At 39.3% G+C, this 18,387-nt stretch overlaps 1 long non-coding RNA gene across 1 annotated transcript in view; it reads right to left on the reverse strand.

Annotated features, from left to right (window-relative positions):
* Positions 1-12,119: 12,119 nt before the first annotated feature.
* LOC124907895 (uncharacterized) overlaps positions 12,120-18,387 on the reverse strand; it is a 36,037-nt gene continuing 29,769 nt past the window's right edge. Inside the window, exon 2 of the long non-coding RNA XR_007087254.1 lies at positions 12,120-15,732. This is a non-coding gene — a long non-coding RNA (uncharacterized LOC124907895). The remainder of the gene's footprint in view (positions 15,733-18,387) is intronic.

An 18,387-nucleotide genomic window follows, 5' to 3' on the forward strand; every position in this document is an offset into this window, starting at 1 on the left:
TATCTCTGACGGTAGTCCCTACCTCTATGTCACTCCCCCATGGGCTGGGGTCGGACCACATATTCTGAGCTGACCCAGTTGGCTACTTGCAAATATTTTTCTAAATATGTAAGGGGGACGTGAGGTACAGTGGTGAAGCTTGTGAGATGTGCAGTTTCTTGGGGATCAATAGGTGCAGGTAACCAAGCGAACAGATGTGAGTTATTGATTAGAGCTGACGGGAAGGGGTTAGGCTGTTTCACAGTAACTAGGTGCAAGGAGGAACAGGAAAGTTGAGTTTAAGAATAAAAGACAAGGAAGTTAGCAGGCTAAATCTTTGAAGAGAAACTCAGAGAAATTCACTGTATCTTACATTAATCTCCTTTGGCAACATCCTCACAGACACACCCAGGATCAATACTTTGTATCCTTAAATCTAATCGAATTGACACTCAGTATTAACCATCACAAGCCCACCCCTTGTCAACTTGAACTCATACACATCTCCTGAGATCATACATAATCTTCAAATAAAGACAATAATAAGATCATAATTACACCTAACATAATACAACTATCCTTTGTACAACTGGAAATGCACCAATCCCCTACTCAAATACTATTACATAAGGTTAACAATACTTCAATGCTGGTATGAATTCAATAAATCTTATGTCACATGATAGAGGAAATAAAGATATTTTCTTAGTACAAGTGTATACATGCACAAACATGTTTTTAGCAAAAGGAGGAGGAAATACTCATGACAATTATAGTCCTCATTTCCGCAGCTGGTCACGTGGTCATAGCTGGTATTGATGACTACCTTCTTCTACTACCCATTCTGTATTCCCTTTGCAAGCACCTTAGGAAGTCATGGATTTTTTCCTGGTGGAGTGACAGAAATCCTCATTCCTGAGAGGTCTGGCCCATTTGTAGTCCTGCCTGGATTGGGCTATTGTAGTTTCCCATTGACCTTAATCACAAGGCATGGTAATACTAACAGATGCCTTAGTGAATCTCCTGTATTCCATGTATACTCTTCCTTACTTCCATTGTGGAGTAGTAGACTGATTTCATCTTGATAGTCCAGGTCAATCACCCCAGACAACACTGTAACTCCCTTCTTAGCCTGTTGACTTAAAGGTAGGAGGAGCCCAAAGTGTCCAGGTGGCAATCATAACTTCCAGTTTAATGGAATCATTGTGTCTCCTGGTGGCAGCATCCCTCCCTCTGGAACTAAGACCTCTAGGCCAGCAGAATGTAATGTTGTGGGAACAGGAAGCAAAAAATTTTGCTAGTGGATCACTGGGGGTGATGGTGAGTGGTGAGTGGTGCTACTTCCACTTCCACTCCTTGATTTCTGGACCTGTGAATCCTGGCTATGGGAGAAACAGTAGCATATATTGGATGCTGACTCAGAGCATACATGGCCTTCTGGAGAACTTGCCTCACCCTGCAAAGTATTGTCACCTAGTCAATGTTGTAATTGTGGCTTCAAAAGGCCATTCCACCGTTCTATCAATCCAGCTGCTTCAGGATGATGGGGAACGTGGTAAGACCAGTAAATTCCATGAGCATGAGCCCATTGCCACACTTCTTTAGCTGTAAAGTGAATGCTTTGGTCAGAGGCAACGCTGTGTGGAATACCATGACGGTGGATAAGGCATTCCATGAGCCCACGGACAGTAGTCTTGGCAGAGGCACTGTGTGAAGGATAGGCTAACCCATATCCAGATTAATTGTCTATTCCAGTGAGGACAAACCTCTGCCCTTTCCATGATGAAAGAAGTCCAATATAATCAACCTGCCACTAGGTAGCTGGCTAATCACCCAGAGGAATTGTGCCATATTGAGGGCTCAGTGCTGGTCTCTGCTGCTGGCAAATTGGGCACTCAGCAGCAGCCATAGCCAGGTCAGCCTTAGTGAGTGGAAGTCCATGTTGCTGAGCCCACGTGCAACTTCCATTCCTGCCTCCATGGCCACTTTGTTCATGATCCCATTGGGTGATGACAGGGTAGCTGGGGAAAGAGGCTGAGTGGTGTCCACAGAATGGGTCATCCTATCCACTTGATATCCTCCTCTGCTGATGTCACCCATTGGTGAGCATCCACATGGGATGCAAATATCTTCACGATTTTTGACCACTCAGAGAGGTCCATCCACATACCTTTTCCCCAAATTTCTTTGTCACCAATTTTCCAATTATCCTTCTTCCAAGTCCCTGACCATCCAGCCAAACCATTGGCTACAGCTCATGAATCAGTATATAATCGCATATCTGGCCATTTCTCCTTCCATGCCAAGTGCACAACCAGGTGCACTGCTCAAAGTTCTGCCCACTGGGAAGATTTCCCTTCAACGCTTTCCTTCAGGGATGTCCTAGAAAGGGGCTGTAGTGCTGCAGCTGTCCACTTTTGGATGGTGGCTGCATATTGTGCAGAACCAGCCATCTGTGAACCAGGCCCTAGTCTTCTCTTCCTGTTGACTGATCATAGGGAACTCCCCATGAGGCCATCAGTGCAGGCTGGGGGAGAGAAGGCAAGGTGGCAGCAGTGGAGACTAGGGGCATTTGAGCCACTTCCTCATGTAAGCTACTTGTGCCTTCAGGACCTGCTCAAGCCCAATCGCATATATACCATTTCCATTTGATGATGGAATGCTGCTGTGCGTGACCCACTTTATGGCTAGATGGGTGAGAAAGCACCCAGTTTATGATAGGCAATTCAGGTGCCATGGTGACTTGATGAACGAAAGTCAAACGTTCAGTTGCTACCAAACCCCAGTAACAGGCCAAGAGTTGTCTCTCAAAAGGAGAGTAGTTATCTGCAGAAGATGCCAGGGACTTGCTTCACAATCCTAGAGGCCTCTGCTGTGATTCAACTATGAGGGCCTGCCAAAGGCTCCAAACAGCATCGCTATCTGCCACTGACATAGCAAGCACTATTGGAAAAGCACAGAAGCCTGGACCTGTTGCAGAGGTTCCTCCTGTTCTGGACCCCACTAAACTGGCAGCCTTTCAGGTCACTCAATAAATGGGCCGAAGTAACACACCCAAATGAGAAATGTGTTGCCTCCAAAATTGAAATAGGCCCACTAGGTGTAGTGACTCTTTCTTGGTTGTAGGAGGGGCCAAATGTAGCAACTTATCCTTCACCTTAGAAGGAATGTCTCAACAGGCCCCACACCACTGGACCCCTAGAAGTCTTACTGAGGTAGAAGGTCCCTGAATTTTAGTCGGATTTATTTTCCATCCTGTGGCACACAAATGTCTCGCCAGTAAGTACAATGTGTTTGCTACTTCTTGCTCACTGGATCCAATCAGCATAATGTCATCAATGTAAAGGACCAGTGTGATATCTTGCAGAAGCAAAAAGCAATCAAGTTCTCTCCAAATAAAATTATGACACAAAGACAGAGAGTTGATATACCCCTGAAATAGGACAGTAAATGTATATTCCTGGCCTTGCCAGCTGAAAGCAAATTGTTTCTGGTGGGCCTTGTGGACAGGAATGGAGAAAAAGACATTTTCCAATTTAATGGCTGCATACCAGGTACCAGGAGATATGTTAATTTGCTTAAGCAATGAAACCACATCTGAGACAGCAGCTGCAATTAGAGTCACCACTTGGTTAACCTTATGATAATCCACTGTCATTCTCCAAGATCCATCTGTCTTCTGCACAGGACAAATGGGAGAGTTTAACAGGGATGTGGTGGGAATCACCACCCATACGTCTTTCAAGTCCTTGATGGTTGCACTAATCTCCACAATCCCTCCAGGGATGCAATATTGTTTTTGATTTACCATTTTTCTAGGTAGAGGCAGCTGTAATGGCTTCCATTTGGCCTTTCCCACCATAAAAGCCCTCACCAGTCAGGGAGCCAATGTGGTGGTTCCACCAGCTGCTAAGTATGTCTATGCCAACTATACATTCTGGCACTGGGGAAATGACCGCAAGATGAGTTCAGGGACCCACTGGACCCAATGTAAGTTGGATCTGAGCTAAAACTCTATTAATTACTTGACCTTCATAAGCCCCTACTTTAACTGGAGGAGGACAATGACGTTTTGGGTCCCCTGGAATCAACGTGAGCTTACAGCCAGCGTCCAGCAGTACCGGAAATGTCTCATTTCCCTTTCCCCAGTGCACAGTTACCCTGGTAAAAGGCTGGAAGTGTCCTTGCAGAAGGATGGGAGAAAGATTCACTGCATAAATTGTCGGTAATGTAGTGGGGTTCTTTCTCAAGGGGACCCAGGGTCCCCTTTATTCAAGGGTTTCTGGGTCTGTAAACTGGCACAAGTCTGGAAATTGATTGAGGGGCCATGATCCTCAGTTTTTATAATTTAGTCTTTTGTCCATTCGACCTCGAGTTTTTCTGCTTGTATAAATTAACTAGGAATGCAGTAGGCTTCCTATCAATTTCACTTCTAAGGAGTCCATGATTAATTCGCCAATGCCAGAGCTCTACATGAGTCAGACTGTTCTGATTGCTGCTTTGCCTCTGCTGTCCATTATGTTAGCTATGCCCACCTTGCCTTTGACAGTTGAGTGCCGCCACTTGGCCCCTGCCACCTCGGGATCCAATTATTCCCATTGTATTTAACTTCTGTAGTCAAGTGACTGCAGTTCCCACTGTTAGATCTGACACACAGAGAAGAGCAATTACAGGACTCTTCAAAGATGCAGGTGCTGCCCTCACAAATCTATTTTGCAAGGCATTGGTTAAGGGTATATCTTCTGGACCCTCCCAGCTGGGATGAGTATGTCTAAAGTGACTAATCCACCCCACCATCCCAATCTCCCTAAGCCTTTGGATCCCTTCCTCTACATTAAACCAAGGGAGATCAGGCATTTCTAGCTCACTCACAGTGGGCAATCTTTTAATCCACATTTCAGCTAACCAGCAAATAAACTATTAGAACCTTTTTTAACTCCTTGAGCTGCAATATTAAAAGCAGAGTCCCTACTTAGTGGGTCCAAATCAATAAATTCAGCCTGATCCAACTCTGTGTTCCTTCCACCATTATCCCACACCCTTAATGTTCATTCCCATGCCTATTCTCCAGATTTCTGTTTATATAAATTAGATAACTCAAATAGTTCTTTTTGAGTGTAGCACACTTCCTCATGGGTCACAGTCTCAATCTCATCTCCAGGGGCCAGCCAGGACTTCAGTCTAGCTATAGTTGTAGAAGCAAACAGGGGTGTTGGGGGTTTCTCCTGAGAAGAATCAACATTATTTTGTCTGGCAACTGCCTCAGGGGAGGTCATCACTGCTGCCTCAGGCAGTGCAGGGTTTATCTCCTCAGACAAAGGTGGAAAGGCTGATGGCAGCATAGGATAGGGAGGGGATATTGTCTCCACTAGAGATGGGAAAGCTGCTCCTTCTGGCAAAAAAGTTTCATCAGAGTTTACAAACTCAGTGTCCCCAGTTTCATCAGGGCCCTCCCACATGTCCCCATTCCAAGTTTCAGGGTCCCATTCTTTTCCAATCAATGCCCTCACTTTAACAGTAGACACCTGTTGAGGCTGTGCATACATCTTTCATTGCAGATCAGCCACTCGCAGAGCTTGTGTCTGTTTTTCCACAATTTCAGCTCTTTCTCTAAAGGAAATAAGACTCTGACTCAGGGCAATCTTAGCAGATTTGAGGCTCAGTATCTGCTTCTGAAGCTGGGAGACAGAGCCCCTGAGTTCATCATTTTCTTTCATCAGTTTGTCCACTGAACTTAGGAACAACCAACCAGGTTCATTATGTTTTCCACATATGGTCAAAAGTATTATGTAGAGAGTCACTAAACTCCTTGCCTCTCAGGAGCAGTGAGTCAGGAATGTCAAATGCATTTATTTTTCATAACTCTCTAAATAGTTCATGCCAAGGACTATCAGTGTTCTTCATACTATTAGAAGTAGAGTCCTTAGCATTGTTGGATCTAATCATATTAAGCAGCCAAATGCAGAAACCCCAAGACCAATGAAATAATTCCATCCTTAATATTCTATTCCTCTAGAACCACTCCTGGTATGAAAATCTGTATTAGTCAGGGTTCTCTAGAGGGACAGAACTAATAGGATATATACATATATATATATATATATATATATATATAGGAGTTTTTAAATATTAACTTACATGGTCATGAGGTCCCACAATAGGCTGTTTGCAAGCTGATGAGCAAGGAGAGCCAGTTCAAGTCCCAAAACTGAAAAACTTGGAGGCCAATGTTCAAGGGCAGGAAGTATCCAGCACGGGAGAAAGATGTAGGCTGGGAGACTAGGCCAGTCTGGACTTTCCACGTTTTTGTGCCTTCTTTATATTCCCTGATTAGATTGTGCCCAACAGATTAAGGGTGGATCTGCCTTCCCCAGCCCACTGGCTCAAATGTTAATCTGTTTTGGCAACACCCTAACAGACAAGCCCAAGATCAATACTTTGTATCCTTCAATCCAATTGAGTTGACACTCAGTATTAACCATCACAACATCCTTCTTTGGGGACCTCTAAAATTTACTAATCCTTTATCTGAATCCACACTCCTTTATCTGAAACTTTTGGGACCAGATATGTTTTGGAACTCAGAATTTTTCAAATCTTAGGGGAAAAAAAAAACCTCACAAAACATACTAAATGAGGTTTGGGACAGCACCCTGTAATAATCACATTATGTTAAGTCTGCAGTGAAATCGAGAATATTTCAAGAAATGAACTGGAGAATATAAATAGTCTCACATTTGGTCAGATGCAGTTTTGCCACCCAATGGGCTGTAGGGGCTGAGGGCCCTGTGAAGGTTCACTGAAAAAACCACTGACATGAGGCAGATTAATAGGAGTAAAGGCATAGAAATGTATTTAACATGTATACATGGGAACCTTCAGAATGAAGACCAAAGATACACGGAAAATTCTCCATTTTTATGCTTAAATTCTACAATGTATGGACAGCCATGTAGAAACAATATTGGAGGAAAAGAGTATGATCTAATATTTAAAGACTGAGTGAGGAAACCCACAAGCCTATCTGTCTAGATTCTTCTTGGCCTCTCTGAGCATATATTTCTTCCTTCTATATATGGAACAAGATCTTCTCTGGAATGGGAGTCTTATAACCTACAGTCAAACAAGGTAGGTCAGATAGTTTCTTTAAGGCCAGTTTTTACACAGATAGGGAAGAGGGAAAGTTAGAGTAATACTTTTAGGTTTTTTGGCTGGCTTTGGGGAAAAGTGGTTCTGGTTTTTATGATACACTTTTGGGAAGAGGGTTTCTAGTTTATATGGCTAGACTTGGGAGAAAATGGGCCTGAGAGACAGGACGGGAGGAAAAGGTCAGAGAAAAACATTTTATTCTGAGGCTGCTGCTGAGCCCTTCATTTTGGGGTATGTTTTCTGAGCCCCAATAGGGCATTCATTTCAGTCTTAAGTGTCTTCAGGACTTAGAAATCCCAGATAACAGAATGTGAATATGCATACTGAAAATATCTTTGAATTATCTGCAGTCAAAGTTTGCTTTCCTTTCTCCCCCACTGCCCTGTAGACAAGTCCTCAGCAGGGGAATTGCTTTCACCTCAGAAGCAGCAGACAAATGTACTCTGTTTACAAGTTTAATAAAGGAAAAAGTAAAACATAAAAACTAAAATCACATTTCTTTGTCCCATTTTGACAATTCTGTGTCTTCTGTCTTCTTGGGATTAATTACCCATCTCCCACCCTTGTTTCAGCTTCCTACATGTGTCACAGGCTTAGTCAAGCTTTTCTTGCTTTAATGAAGAGAAAAAACAAACAAACAAAAAGCCAGGTCACTCTATTTTCCAGAAATTAAACCTTCATTGGAGACTCTTTTATTTTCCCAATCATTAAAATAATTACTTATGCACTAATTTTGTTTTTCTTTTTTTGGTTTTTGACCTCCTATGTTAAAATTGGTAGGCCAAATGAATATTGCAATTTGAGTAATTTAAAAATCTTTGAGTCTTGCCTTCTTTATAGATAAAATTAATTTAGAAATAGCATTTTTGAAACCAGACATTCTTTCTAAACTAAGAATTCCAGATGTTTTTAGTCGCTGCCTATGACATTTCCACAATCAGAATAAATTGTGTTTCCAGAGTAATGTAATAGATAGAAGTGCTGAATAAATCTCATGCAGTTGAGATGACAAAATTAACATGCTGATGACATTTTAATGTTTCAATATAATCAAGGGGGCATGGATCATGCCTCCACTAGTTCTAATATAATTCTATTCTCGAATCTTTTTCAAAACAAAATAAAATATAGATTTCAGAAAGTATATAAGCACAGTGTGCTACAGTCTTCAGGCAAGCTGTTTAGGATGCATCTGAAATGCTATTTAGGTTCAGCTTTGCCAGTAGTTATTTTACCAAAGCAAATGAGTTATATATATAAAAATCCTGGGTTAAGGGCAGATATTTTGTTAGTTTTATTCTCAAGGCTGCTGTCGGTGCTTCTGCTACAATTACTATTTTATATTTAGGCAGATAGTTTGCTAATTGAAATAGAGAAAATAGTCTATTTTGATTGGATACAGTGAACAGCTGCTATTCACCTATTCTCACAACAACAACAACAAAATGCAAACAAATAAATAAACTTCTTGGGCTCAAAATGAGAAAAAAAGAAAGACAAATAGCTGATAATAGCTATTTGAAATCTTAAAGTCAAATTTATCCCTGGAAAAAAACCAAACAAACATAGCTTGACTACACATGTAGGTTGAAAAGCTGTGTTGCGTGTTGACAAAGTTGTATCCCATTTTCTCAGTGGCATTGGAGAGAAGAATGAAGACAAAGAGATGGAAGAATGGCAATATCTTTTTCCTCATCTGCCCACAGAAAGGGTGGTGATGATAGGCTAGATGGGGACAAGAAGCAATGATGGTTTTGCCAGAACTCAGGTGTAGACAGAAATGAGTGACATAAGATATGTGATTTCTTGGGCACTCATTGAGCTCACTGTAAAACAGTGACAGAATAAATGCTTATTGCTAAACAGCACTTTTCAAGCATATACTTGAATGTAAACCTCAAGATTTTCCTTGAGAAAATTTTCCTGAAGAAAAGTCTCATTCAGAAACATAATATAAATATATTAAACTTATAAGAGAAGACCCCCCTGAGTGGAGCTGGGCCAAATGGCTGGCCCTGCTGTGCCTTTCTAGAGTACAATATTAAATCTACTGTTGCAGATTCACCAAAACACGGGACAGACACATTTTTTTCCCCCAAAATTATTTTCCCAACATATTCCTTTCTTTCAGTCACTGCTGACAAACTGATCTTTCTAAAACATAGTCTTGAATACACAGTATCTTGCAATGGATTATGTATTATCCCAGCTTTCTCACCTCCACATCCATTGCAGAGGATACCCAGCCAGGCCACTAGTGCTTCTGCTTACCTCTCTAGTTCCCATGTGCTCTCTGTGTCGGAGTAGATGCTTTAGCTACAATGAAAGGAAACCCTATTCAGGGTGGCTTCAGTAATGAGCAAACTGTTCCCAGCTTACAGTTAGAGCAAGTCAAAGCAGAGAAGGAAGAATGGCTTGAAGATAACATCAAGGGGCTTAATTCTCTCATCTCTCTGTTCCATCAACCTATGGCTGTTTCTTCTGGTGTTCTAAAGATGGCTGACAAAGAGAACTGTGGCTTCTCTTGCTCAGCTCTACCAAGAGAGGAGAGGGTTGGAAAGGAGAGGGGAGCAGCGGGGAGGTGCGGGAAGGAAATTGAGGAGAGACAGAGAGCCAAGAAAGAGGGATACAGCCAGTCTATAATCCTGGAAAATAAGTCCTCATTGGCCCAATCACAGAACCATCAACAATTGGCAAGAGAAGACCAAAAGTCAGCTAGCAGAGGAGAGGAAAGGAACATTCTGTGAGTGCATCCATGATTCCAACTCTACCAAAGTTTGTCCCACAACCCCCCATCTGGTGATCTGTTAGCATAATCCACACTCAACTGCCAAAAGTAAGTATTCAGAGGCTGAACACTGAACCTGAACAGCAGCTCTGGCAGCAGAGTCTGGATGTTTTGTTTGTTTGTTTGTCTTAGGTAGGGGGCTTTTTTTGAGAGTATGTTGAATGTTGTTCAAAAGAATGTGTTTTAATGTCATACCCAAGAGATGCAAGTATGCAATATATCAATGTGTTTATTTCTCCCTCTCTTCTTGGAAACCTTGAAAGAAAGAGTGTACTGATACTTTGAATTTTGATCCTTCCGGAATAGGCTGAGGAATCTCTAGAAAGTAGAATTGTTTTACACTAAAATACTAGCCCACATCCAGGACATCACACGTACAATCAAAACACTCCAAGTTGTCAGTTGCTTTAGCAGATTGATGGCTCTAAAGACCTCCCATACACTAAAAACCTGAAGTTCCCTGATAGAGGTTTAGTTAAGAGATGTCTTCCTTCCCATCTTGCTTATTGAATTTGAAAACTTCTTAGCTTTTTCTGTCAGGGAAGCTACAGAAAAGAGAATTGTTATAGGAATGAGTTAAAAGAAAAGAGTGAAAAAAGATAAATGTAAATGAACTTTTTCAGCTCGAAACACTGGCAAAGACTAAATATACTTTCACTGAAAGACTGTAAGGGAGGATTTTTTAAATAAGATTTCTAGCCTCGGAATATTTCTAACCACAATATAACACTGTTACAGTAGACTAATACTTTTCTTTCAGTAAGAGAAAAGAAATAATTCAAAGCTTTCCAAGTTTGTTTACACAGTAATGATAAAACTGTTCATCATTTTTTCATTAAAAAGTGAATTACCAGTGCATTCTGCTATTAGGGTCAATTCAAGTCGAATTTGTGAAGAAGATAGAATTTCTTATGGTCACTGTCATTGTTTTAGACACCTCCAAATATAGTACCAAATCATCCAAGAACCTCACTGCAGAAAATCATAGAGATCTCAAGACTTTCTCAAACTCCTTCAATAAAATGAAACTTTGTGTGTTTGTGTGTGTGCAAGCTTTCTTCTGGGTGACTATATTTGTTTAGAGATTACACTCAATTATAAATATATTATTAAATAACAATTTCTAAAACTATTATCATAAGACTTGGGTAATACATTGTCTTTCTGATAAAATGTCTTAATTAAGACAAAATATAGAATTTCTCGAATGGTCCTCCAACATAACTTTTACAATGGACATTTTAGAAAACTTCTAGTAAGGAAGTAGAAAAAATTCTTTGGTAGGCATATTCCTATACGTTTCCTACATATTAATCCAGTTTACTGAAGATTCCAAGATTGTCATTCTTAATTCATTTTTATATTTGTTACCCAAATAGCTGTTTTGAATATTCAAAAGAGTTCTAGATTTGGGGTCTCTTTAGTCTCATACTGGGTGCAAGATTTTGGCCAAATTATTTAAACTTTTAAATTTCACATTTCCTCTGTAAATGGAATTACTGACCCCAGGTGTGTCTTACTTTATGGATAATGTAAGAGAGCACAGGGAGCAAATTCAAATACAAACATACCTATAGGGGCTAAGCAGTGACCAGTACATGTAAAGAAGTTTGAGTCAGAGTAGCATTAAGGAAAGAGATGTTAGACACAAATTAGGATATTTTGAGAAAGAGTTCATGTGGTAGCCATCCTCCGAGGTTGCCTTTAATGATCTTTACCTGGTGGTATTCATATCCTTGTATATTCACCTCCTATATTGACCAGGGTTGTCCAGTGAAGCCAGTAGGATCCTGTGGATATGACACTGTAACTTTTGAGGCTAGATCATAAATGACATCATGTCTTCTATCTTGCCCTCTCTTAGGTCACTCACTTTGGGGAAACCAACTGCCATGTTGTAAGAATACTCAGACTAGCCTATGGAGAGTTCCATGTGGCAAGGGCTAAGCCCTCCCAACAACAGGCAGCATGAACTTGCCGGCTGTGTGAGTAAGCCAACCTGCAAGCAGATCCTCCAGCTCTAATCAAGTCTTCAGATGACTACAGTTGCTGCCAACATCTTGACTGCTACCTCATGAGATACCCTGAGCCAGGACTACCTGTCAAGAACTCTGGAGGGTCTATGATTTTACTGTAATTGCCAGCTAATATGTTAGCCTGCCCTATATTTATGGATTATAGCAGAAGACACAAGATTCCTGGGTCAGAGCCAAATAAGTTTTTATTCACAGCAGTAACAATAGCCAGAGAGTTAGCATGTTCTCACACATGTTCAAATCCCACTTCCCATAGGCACCACAGAGGACCAGGTGACACCTCGTACAATGAATTGCATTATAAGAGAGGAATCTTGAGCCTAGGAAACCTAAATATTTTATACTGGACAGTAAAGATGGCTATCCTTGGTTCAGGTAAGAGATCTTATAGCTATCTTCCAAGGCAGATCACTATACAAATATCTTTGAAAAGATAGCCTTGAATAAAGGTCATCAGTGTCTTGGTTCTCAATACATGTAGAAATGTGAGGGATTCATGGAGAGTCCTCTCTCAACCTTACACAGCTAAGCCACTCCTAAATTCCTGACCCACAGAAAATTGTGAGATAATTGTTCATCTGTTTTGAACTCAGAAGTTTTAAGGTAATTTGTTACATAGTAATAGATAACTAATATGGTTTATCTACAAAAAAAGAAAAAACTAAGTATTAATAGAAAACAGTAATTATTAAATAATGGCTAATTGGTAAGGAGTATGCAGTGAACCTCGGACTAGCAGCAGTAGCAGTACTAGCACATGGAGGACTGAAGAGATTAGGGGAGGAAAAGTTTACTGAAAACAGGAAGGAGCAAGAATCACATAGAAGAAGCCACCACTTGAGATGAGGCAATCTTCAGTTAAGGCTGGTGATTTCACATGGGGTTCATCCAGGAAAATAAATATCCTAACTACTCTTCATTGCTTTTTACTTCTCCACTGGCTGAAAGCAAATGGAAATCAAAAGAATGGAAGCTTTGTTGATGTCATTCATGCAGATACACTTCCCAGGTAGAGAAGGACGGAAAGTGAATGTAGGGAAGCAAATAGGGAATATCTGTCACAACCTGGCAAATAAAAGAGCTCATGCATGCCTCTTCTAAAAGAAACAGTTTCTACTCAGAAGTAAATGATTATATTGCTATTGGGTTATTTAGCTGGAAATACAGAAATTGGAGAGGCATCAAAGTAGGGGGTGGGAGAGGGCCTTAAACAAAAGGGAGAAATAAATTACTTACTGCATGGAGACTCCTTCCTCAAGGGTCATCAGTAGAAGGCATTACTGACTGAACTCATTTCATTCAAGCCCAACAATGCTTCCCATGGCCAGGTATTCTTCCCAAGTGTCAATGTCAAATGTGGAGACATTTGATTCTCTGAACCCAAATTTCTGACCGTTTCAAACCACTGTGCCTAGCCGAGACTTGTAGGTAATTGAAATTCATTTGCATATTGTGATTGGATTCTGGATCCCAAAACTCAGCTTGAGATAGAGGAAAAAGTACTTTGCCAATTATCACATAGAAAGCAAAATAAAGTGGGACACTATGAACCCTTTTTATAAAAAGACGATTTATCAATTTGAAAGCCTTTATAAGTAATCAAAAATCTCATGATTTCTAGCAATTCAACCATACTGGATTTTTACATAGAGTTTGACTCTAACCTAGATTTAATTTCCATCCATCATTTACACTCAGGGCCAGACATAGAGAAACAGATTTTGATATATTTACTAAAACTTAAATACAAAGCAGATATCACAAACTTCTCTATGAAACAAATATACTGTATTATCATTTGGAACAAAAGTTTCAGGGAAAAAAACTACTTCCGTCTTTTTTTTTCTTTTGAGACGGAGTCTTCGTCTGCCCCCAGGCTGGAGTGCAGTGGAACGATCTCAGCTCACTGCAGTGCAGTGGTGCAATCTCGGCTCACTGCAACCTCCGCCTCCCGAGTTCAAGCGATTCTCCTGCCTCAGCCTCCCGAGTAGCTGAGACTACAGGCACCCACCACCACACTCGGCTAATCTTTTTTTGTATTTTTAGTAGAGTCGAGGTTTCACCATGTTGGCCAGGATGGTCCGGATGTCCTGACCTTGTGATCCGCCCACCGTGGCCTCCCAAAGGGCTGGGATTACAGGTGTGAGCCACTGTGCCCAGCCACTTCTATCTTTTTCAGAAGTTAAAACAATACGAAATTTTATCTATAAAAAGGTGATAATACTTTTAATGTAAAAATGGGGTTCAACCTATCATTAAAGCATTAGCACATTTAGATAATATTACTTAAGGAGATATTAACTAACAATTCATAGAATAAATGATTAATGTATTAAGAGTCAAATAATTATAAAAAGGGAAAGATAATAATTTCAATTAACTAAGCTCTTGGTTAGACTATATGTTGTTATAGACTTTCTAGAATGCCCGTTGGGAGTAAACAGCAAGAAATTTTTAAGAGTTCACTTAATTTTATGTCAGAATTTCAATTTTAAAGACATAATCTGAGATTTGAGAAGAGAACTGTACATAGAAAAATGAACCTCAAAGAACTATTTTACATTACCAAAAGTATTTGGAAACATCTCCAGGCTTAGCTACAAATTAATATATCCAAATCTCATGTCATAATTTTGAATGTTAATTGGCTATTAAATGAGAATCAAATAGATTTTTATAATTTTGAAGTGTTCTCACAATATGATAAAAGCAAAACAGACAATATTATAGACAGTGTGATTGCAAGCATATTAAATATTCATGTATATGTGACTAAAAGTAAATATGCTATAATGTAAATATTAATTGAGGATATATTTGCATGGAGGGATTATAAATGATATTTTATTATTTATAGTTGCTATATTTCCCAATCTTTCTAGTAAATATGAACACCATTAGCTTTTAAAATGTTCTTTATCCTTATTTTAAAAGTCCAAATGAGCAAATATTGGCCAACTGAACAACATAAATGCACACTAAAATACCTTTTATCTACTGTCAAAACAACATTCTCCTAACCTTCCATTAATAAGGGGGCTTATAATATAAATTACTGAGTACTTTTTTATGACTCTAGTACCAAAAGTCATCAATCCTATCTGTAGCTTTTCACAACACACAATAGAATATATATATTGAATTCAAGCCAAGTGATTACTAACTGGTGTTTTAGAGTGAGAATTCACGCCAAGTGACTGCTAACTGATATTTCAGAGTAAAAATTCTGGGAATTCAGAGTGATAGCTTCACTACTTGTTCTTTTTCACCCCATGAGCACATTGGTGTTTAAAGTCCTAAGTATAAATTGAGGATATGTAATCACACAAAAGTATGTGGGCACAGCACTGTGTCTTTACTGTCCTTGGGGGGAAAAAGACAATAGAGAAATATGTTTGTGCTATAACCATTCTTCTCTACATCTCTTGTTTTGCTGATAAAATGAAAGTGGAAGGATATTTTCATTTAATTTCAGACACATAATGAAACGTGAAGGTTTCAGATTCCTTCACTTTATTGGTGTTTAATAACTTTAATTTTTATAGATCTCAAACACTGCTTATAGTAAACTTTTCATGTCATTCTACAATAACTATTTGAAAGTGTTCATTTCAATTATCTAGGGGATATTTCCTGTTCTGTTTATTTTATCTACTAACTAATACCACAAGGCACAGTTTGGTCATCTCTTGCCTGAATTGTTTCAGTAGGCTCTTACTGTTACCATGGTCTCATTCCCTCCTCTCTTTCATCCATTTGCCTCATTGACTTCAAAGTTACCTACAGAAAAACAAATGTAAACAAAAATAAAACATAAGTTATGTACTTCATAATTCCTTAGCACACATTCACAATCTGACCTTCTTTCCTTTACCTGTGTGTGCATGTATATTCATACCATCACAAATTTACTTCTTCTCTTCTTTCATATTCCACCTGGAATCTCATGAACTCTGACTGTATCTTCAGTGTTGTACTTATTTAATAGTTCATTCTGCCATTTTATTCCTTCCTTATTCTGTTTTGTCCCTTAGATTGCAGATAGTTGAGGTACATTTTCTTCAGTTCTCTAAATCTGCAGGATTTTCCCCAGTGATTTCATTACCTGTTGGATGAACAAAAGGCCTACCAAACTCAAAATTTTACTTCAAATATATATATTGATCATTGCCTCTGTGATGTTTCATTTGTCTGAAACCTTGGTTCCAGGAGAGTTAGTTACTTCTTCATTGTTATATACCAATGTGGTATATATGAGGCTCTCATCTTTTCCCATAATCTCGTTGCTCCATCAACTCCTTCAGAGACTATCTAATTATGACTTTATGAAAAAAGACTAGTTCTTGGATATTTTCAAAATAATTTTGATGTACCAGTTTTTTTAAAAAGTTAATTGAAAAATAATTAGTTTTTTCATAACTTTATCTTTTTAAAAAAATTTTTATTTCCATAGGTTTTGGGGGAACAGGTGGTTTTCGGTTACATAAGTAAGTTCTTTAGTGGTGATTTGTGAGATTTTAGTGCACCCGTCACCTAAGCATTATACACAGAACCCAGTTTGTAGTCTTTTATCTCTCATCTCCCTCCCACCCTTTCCCCTGAGTCTTCTTTCTCCCAGTAAATAATTATGGTACAACTCCAATGTTCCAAGCATTCCTCTAGGTACCAGAGGTATAGCAATGACCATGTCAGACACAGTCTTTGCCATGATGGATTTCTCAGGTTAGCAGCAAAAGCAGACATGATAGAAAGATTTACAGAAAGAATTCTGTAATTGGAATTCTTGGAATTGTAGTAAGTGCTAAGAAAAAAATGCATTCTTTCTGGTAAGGTTTATTTGGAAAACCTACCAATTCTGGGTAGTTAGAAGAGGCATTCAAAAGAAGCTCATATTTAAACTGAGATTTGTGAAATTAGCAACAATTGACACAATAAAAATTAAGCAGGAATTATTCTACCTAGAAAGAACACCATATGCAAAGGCCCTGAGCTTGGATACGACATGAAGTAACTGAACGCCAATGTGTCTAGAGTACAAAAACGGAAAAGAATTTATCCAAGAAACATAGGTTACAATATTTCCCTGATAGTTCCTCAATTACTTATGTTGATGAGGAAGAATCGATTAAGTAAGACAACAATAGCTGTGGCTTGGTGAATACTTTGCAGCCAACTTCTACTTCCACAAAGTGACAAATGAGAACAGAGACTTCAGATAGGATACCTCTGCACTGTCACATTTTTTATCAACCCTGTGCAAAATCATTGAACTAGAAGTGGGTGAGAGTGGCTTTCAAATAAAATACATTCATCTTGATTCAGAAAACCTTATTACTAGACTCTTTATAAGGAGCCTATAGCAATATAAGTGAAGTCCCCCCTTTTTTTTTTTTTGAGATGGAGTCTTGTTCTGTCTCCCAGGCTGGAGTGCAGTGGCGCGATCTCAGCTTACTGCAACCTCTGCCTCCCGGGCCGGGTTCAAGCGATTCTGCTGCCTCAGCCTCCCGAGTAGCTGGAATTACAGGCTCATGCCAGTACACCAGGCTAATATTTGTATTTTTAGTAGACATGGGGTTTCACCATGTTGGCCAAGCTGGTTTCGAACTCCTGACCTCAGGTGATCGCCTGCTTCGGCCTCCCAAAGTGCTGGGATTACAGACGTGAGCCACCGCCCTCAGCCGTAAAGTCCCTTACATGAACATTTAAGTTATTTTGATTAGAAATAGAAACAGTAGAAGGAAGAAACACAAAAATCAGGGAATTATGAGATGCAGAATTATAAGAGATAGAGAAGAAACAGTGACAAAATAAAAAAATTCAAGGAAGGATTCCAGCCACTATGGGAATAAGATTGTTATTCAAACTAAATTAAAAAAATTTTTTTTCAATATGCTTCCTAGTGAGCATTTAATTCTTTTACCTTATTTACAAATTCCAGAGTTGTTTATAATAATTTTTTAAAAACTTTATAAGTATATTAATGAGTTTTGCAAAATATTGTGTGAAGGAAAAGGCCTTTAGAAACATAACAGAAAAGTGTCAGTCATCAAAGAATCTCACCAATACAGAATGCTTTGTTAATATGAGTGATCCAAAGGCAAACAGAAGACACTTTGTTTTACATATAGGAAGGATGCTTTTTGAAAGATATGGCTGTTTTTCAATTGAAGAACCCTCTGGTTTACAATTTTCCACTTAGAAATCTTTACCAAAAAAATTTTACCATATTGCATTTAACATGTTCAAAGATTGTTTTGATCTTTTTTTTTTTTTTTTAAGATGGAGTCTTGCTCTGTCACCTAGACTGAAGTGCAGTGGCATGATCTCAGCTCACTGCAACCTCCGTCTCCCAGGTTCAAGTGATTCTCCTGTCTCAGCCTCCCCAGTAGATGGGATTACAGGCTCACGCCACCATGCCTGGCTAATTTTTTGTAT

The sequence above is a fragment of the Homo sapiens genome, chromosome 2 (assembly GCF_000001405.40).
Source record: "Homo sapiens chromosome 2, GRCh38.p14 Primary Assembly".
NCBI classification, from domain to species: Eukaryota; Metazoa; Chordata; class Mammalia; order Primates; family Hominidae; genus Homo; species Homo sapiens.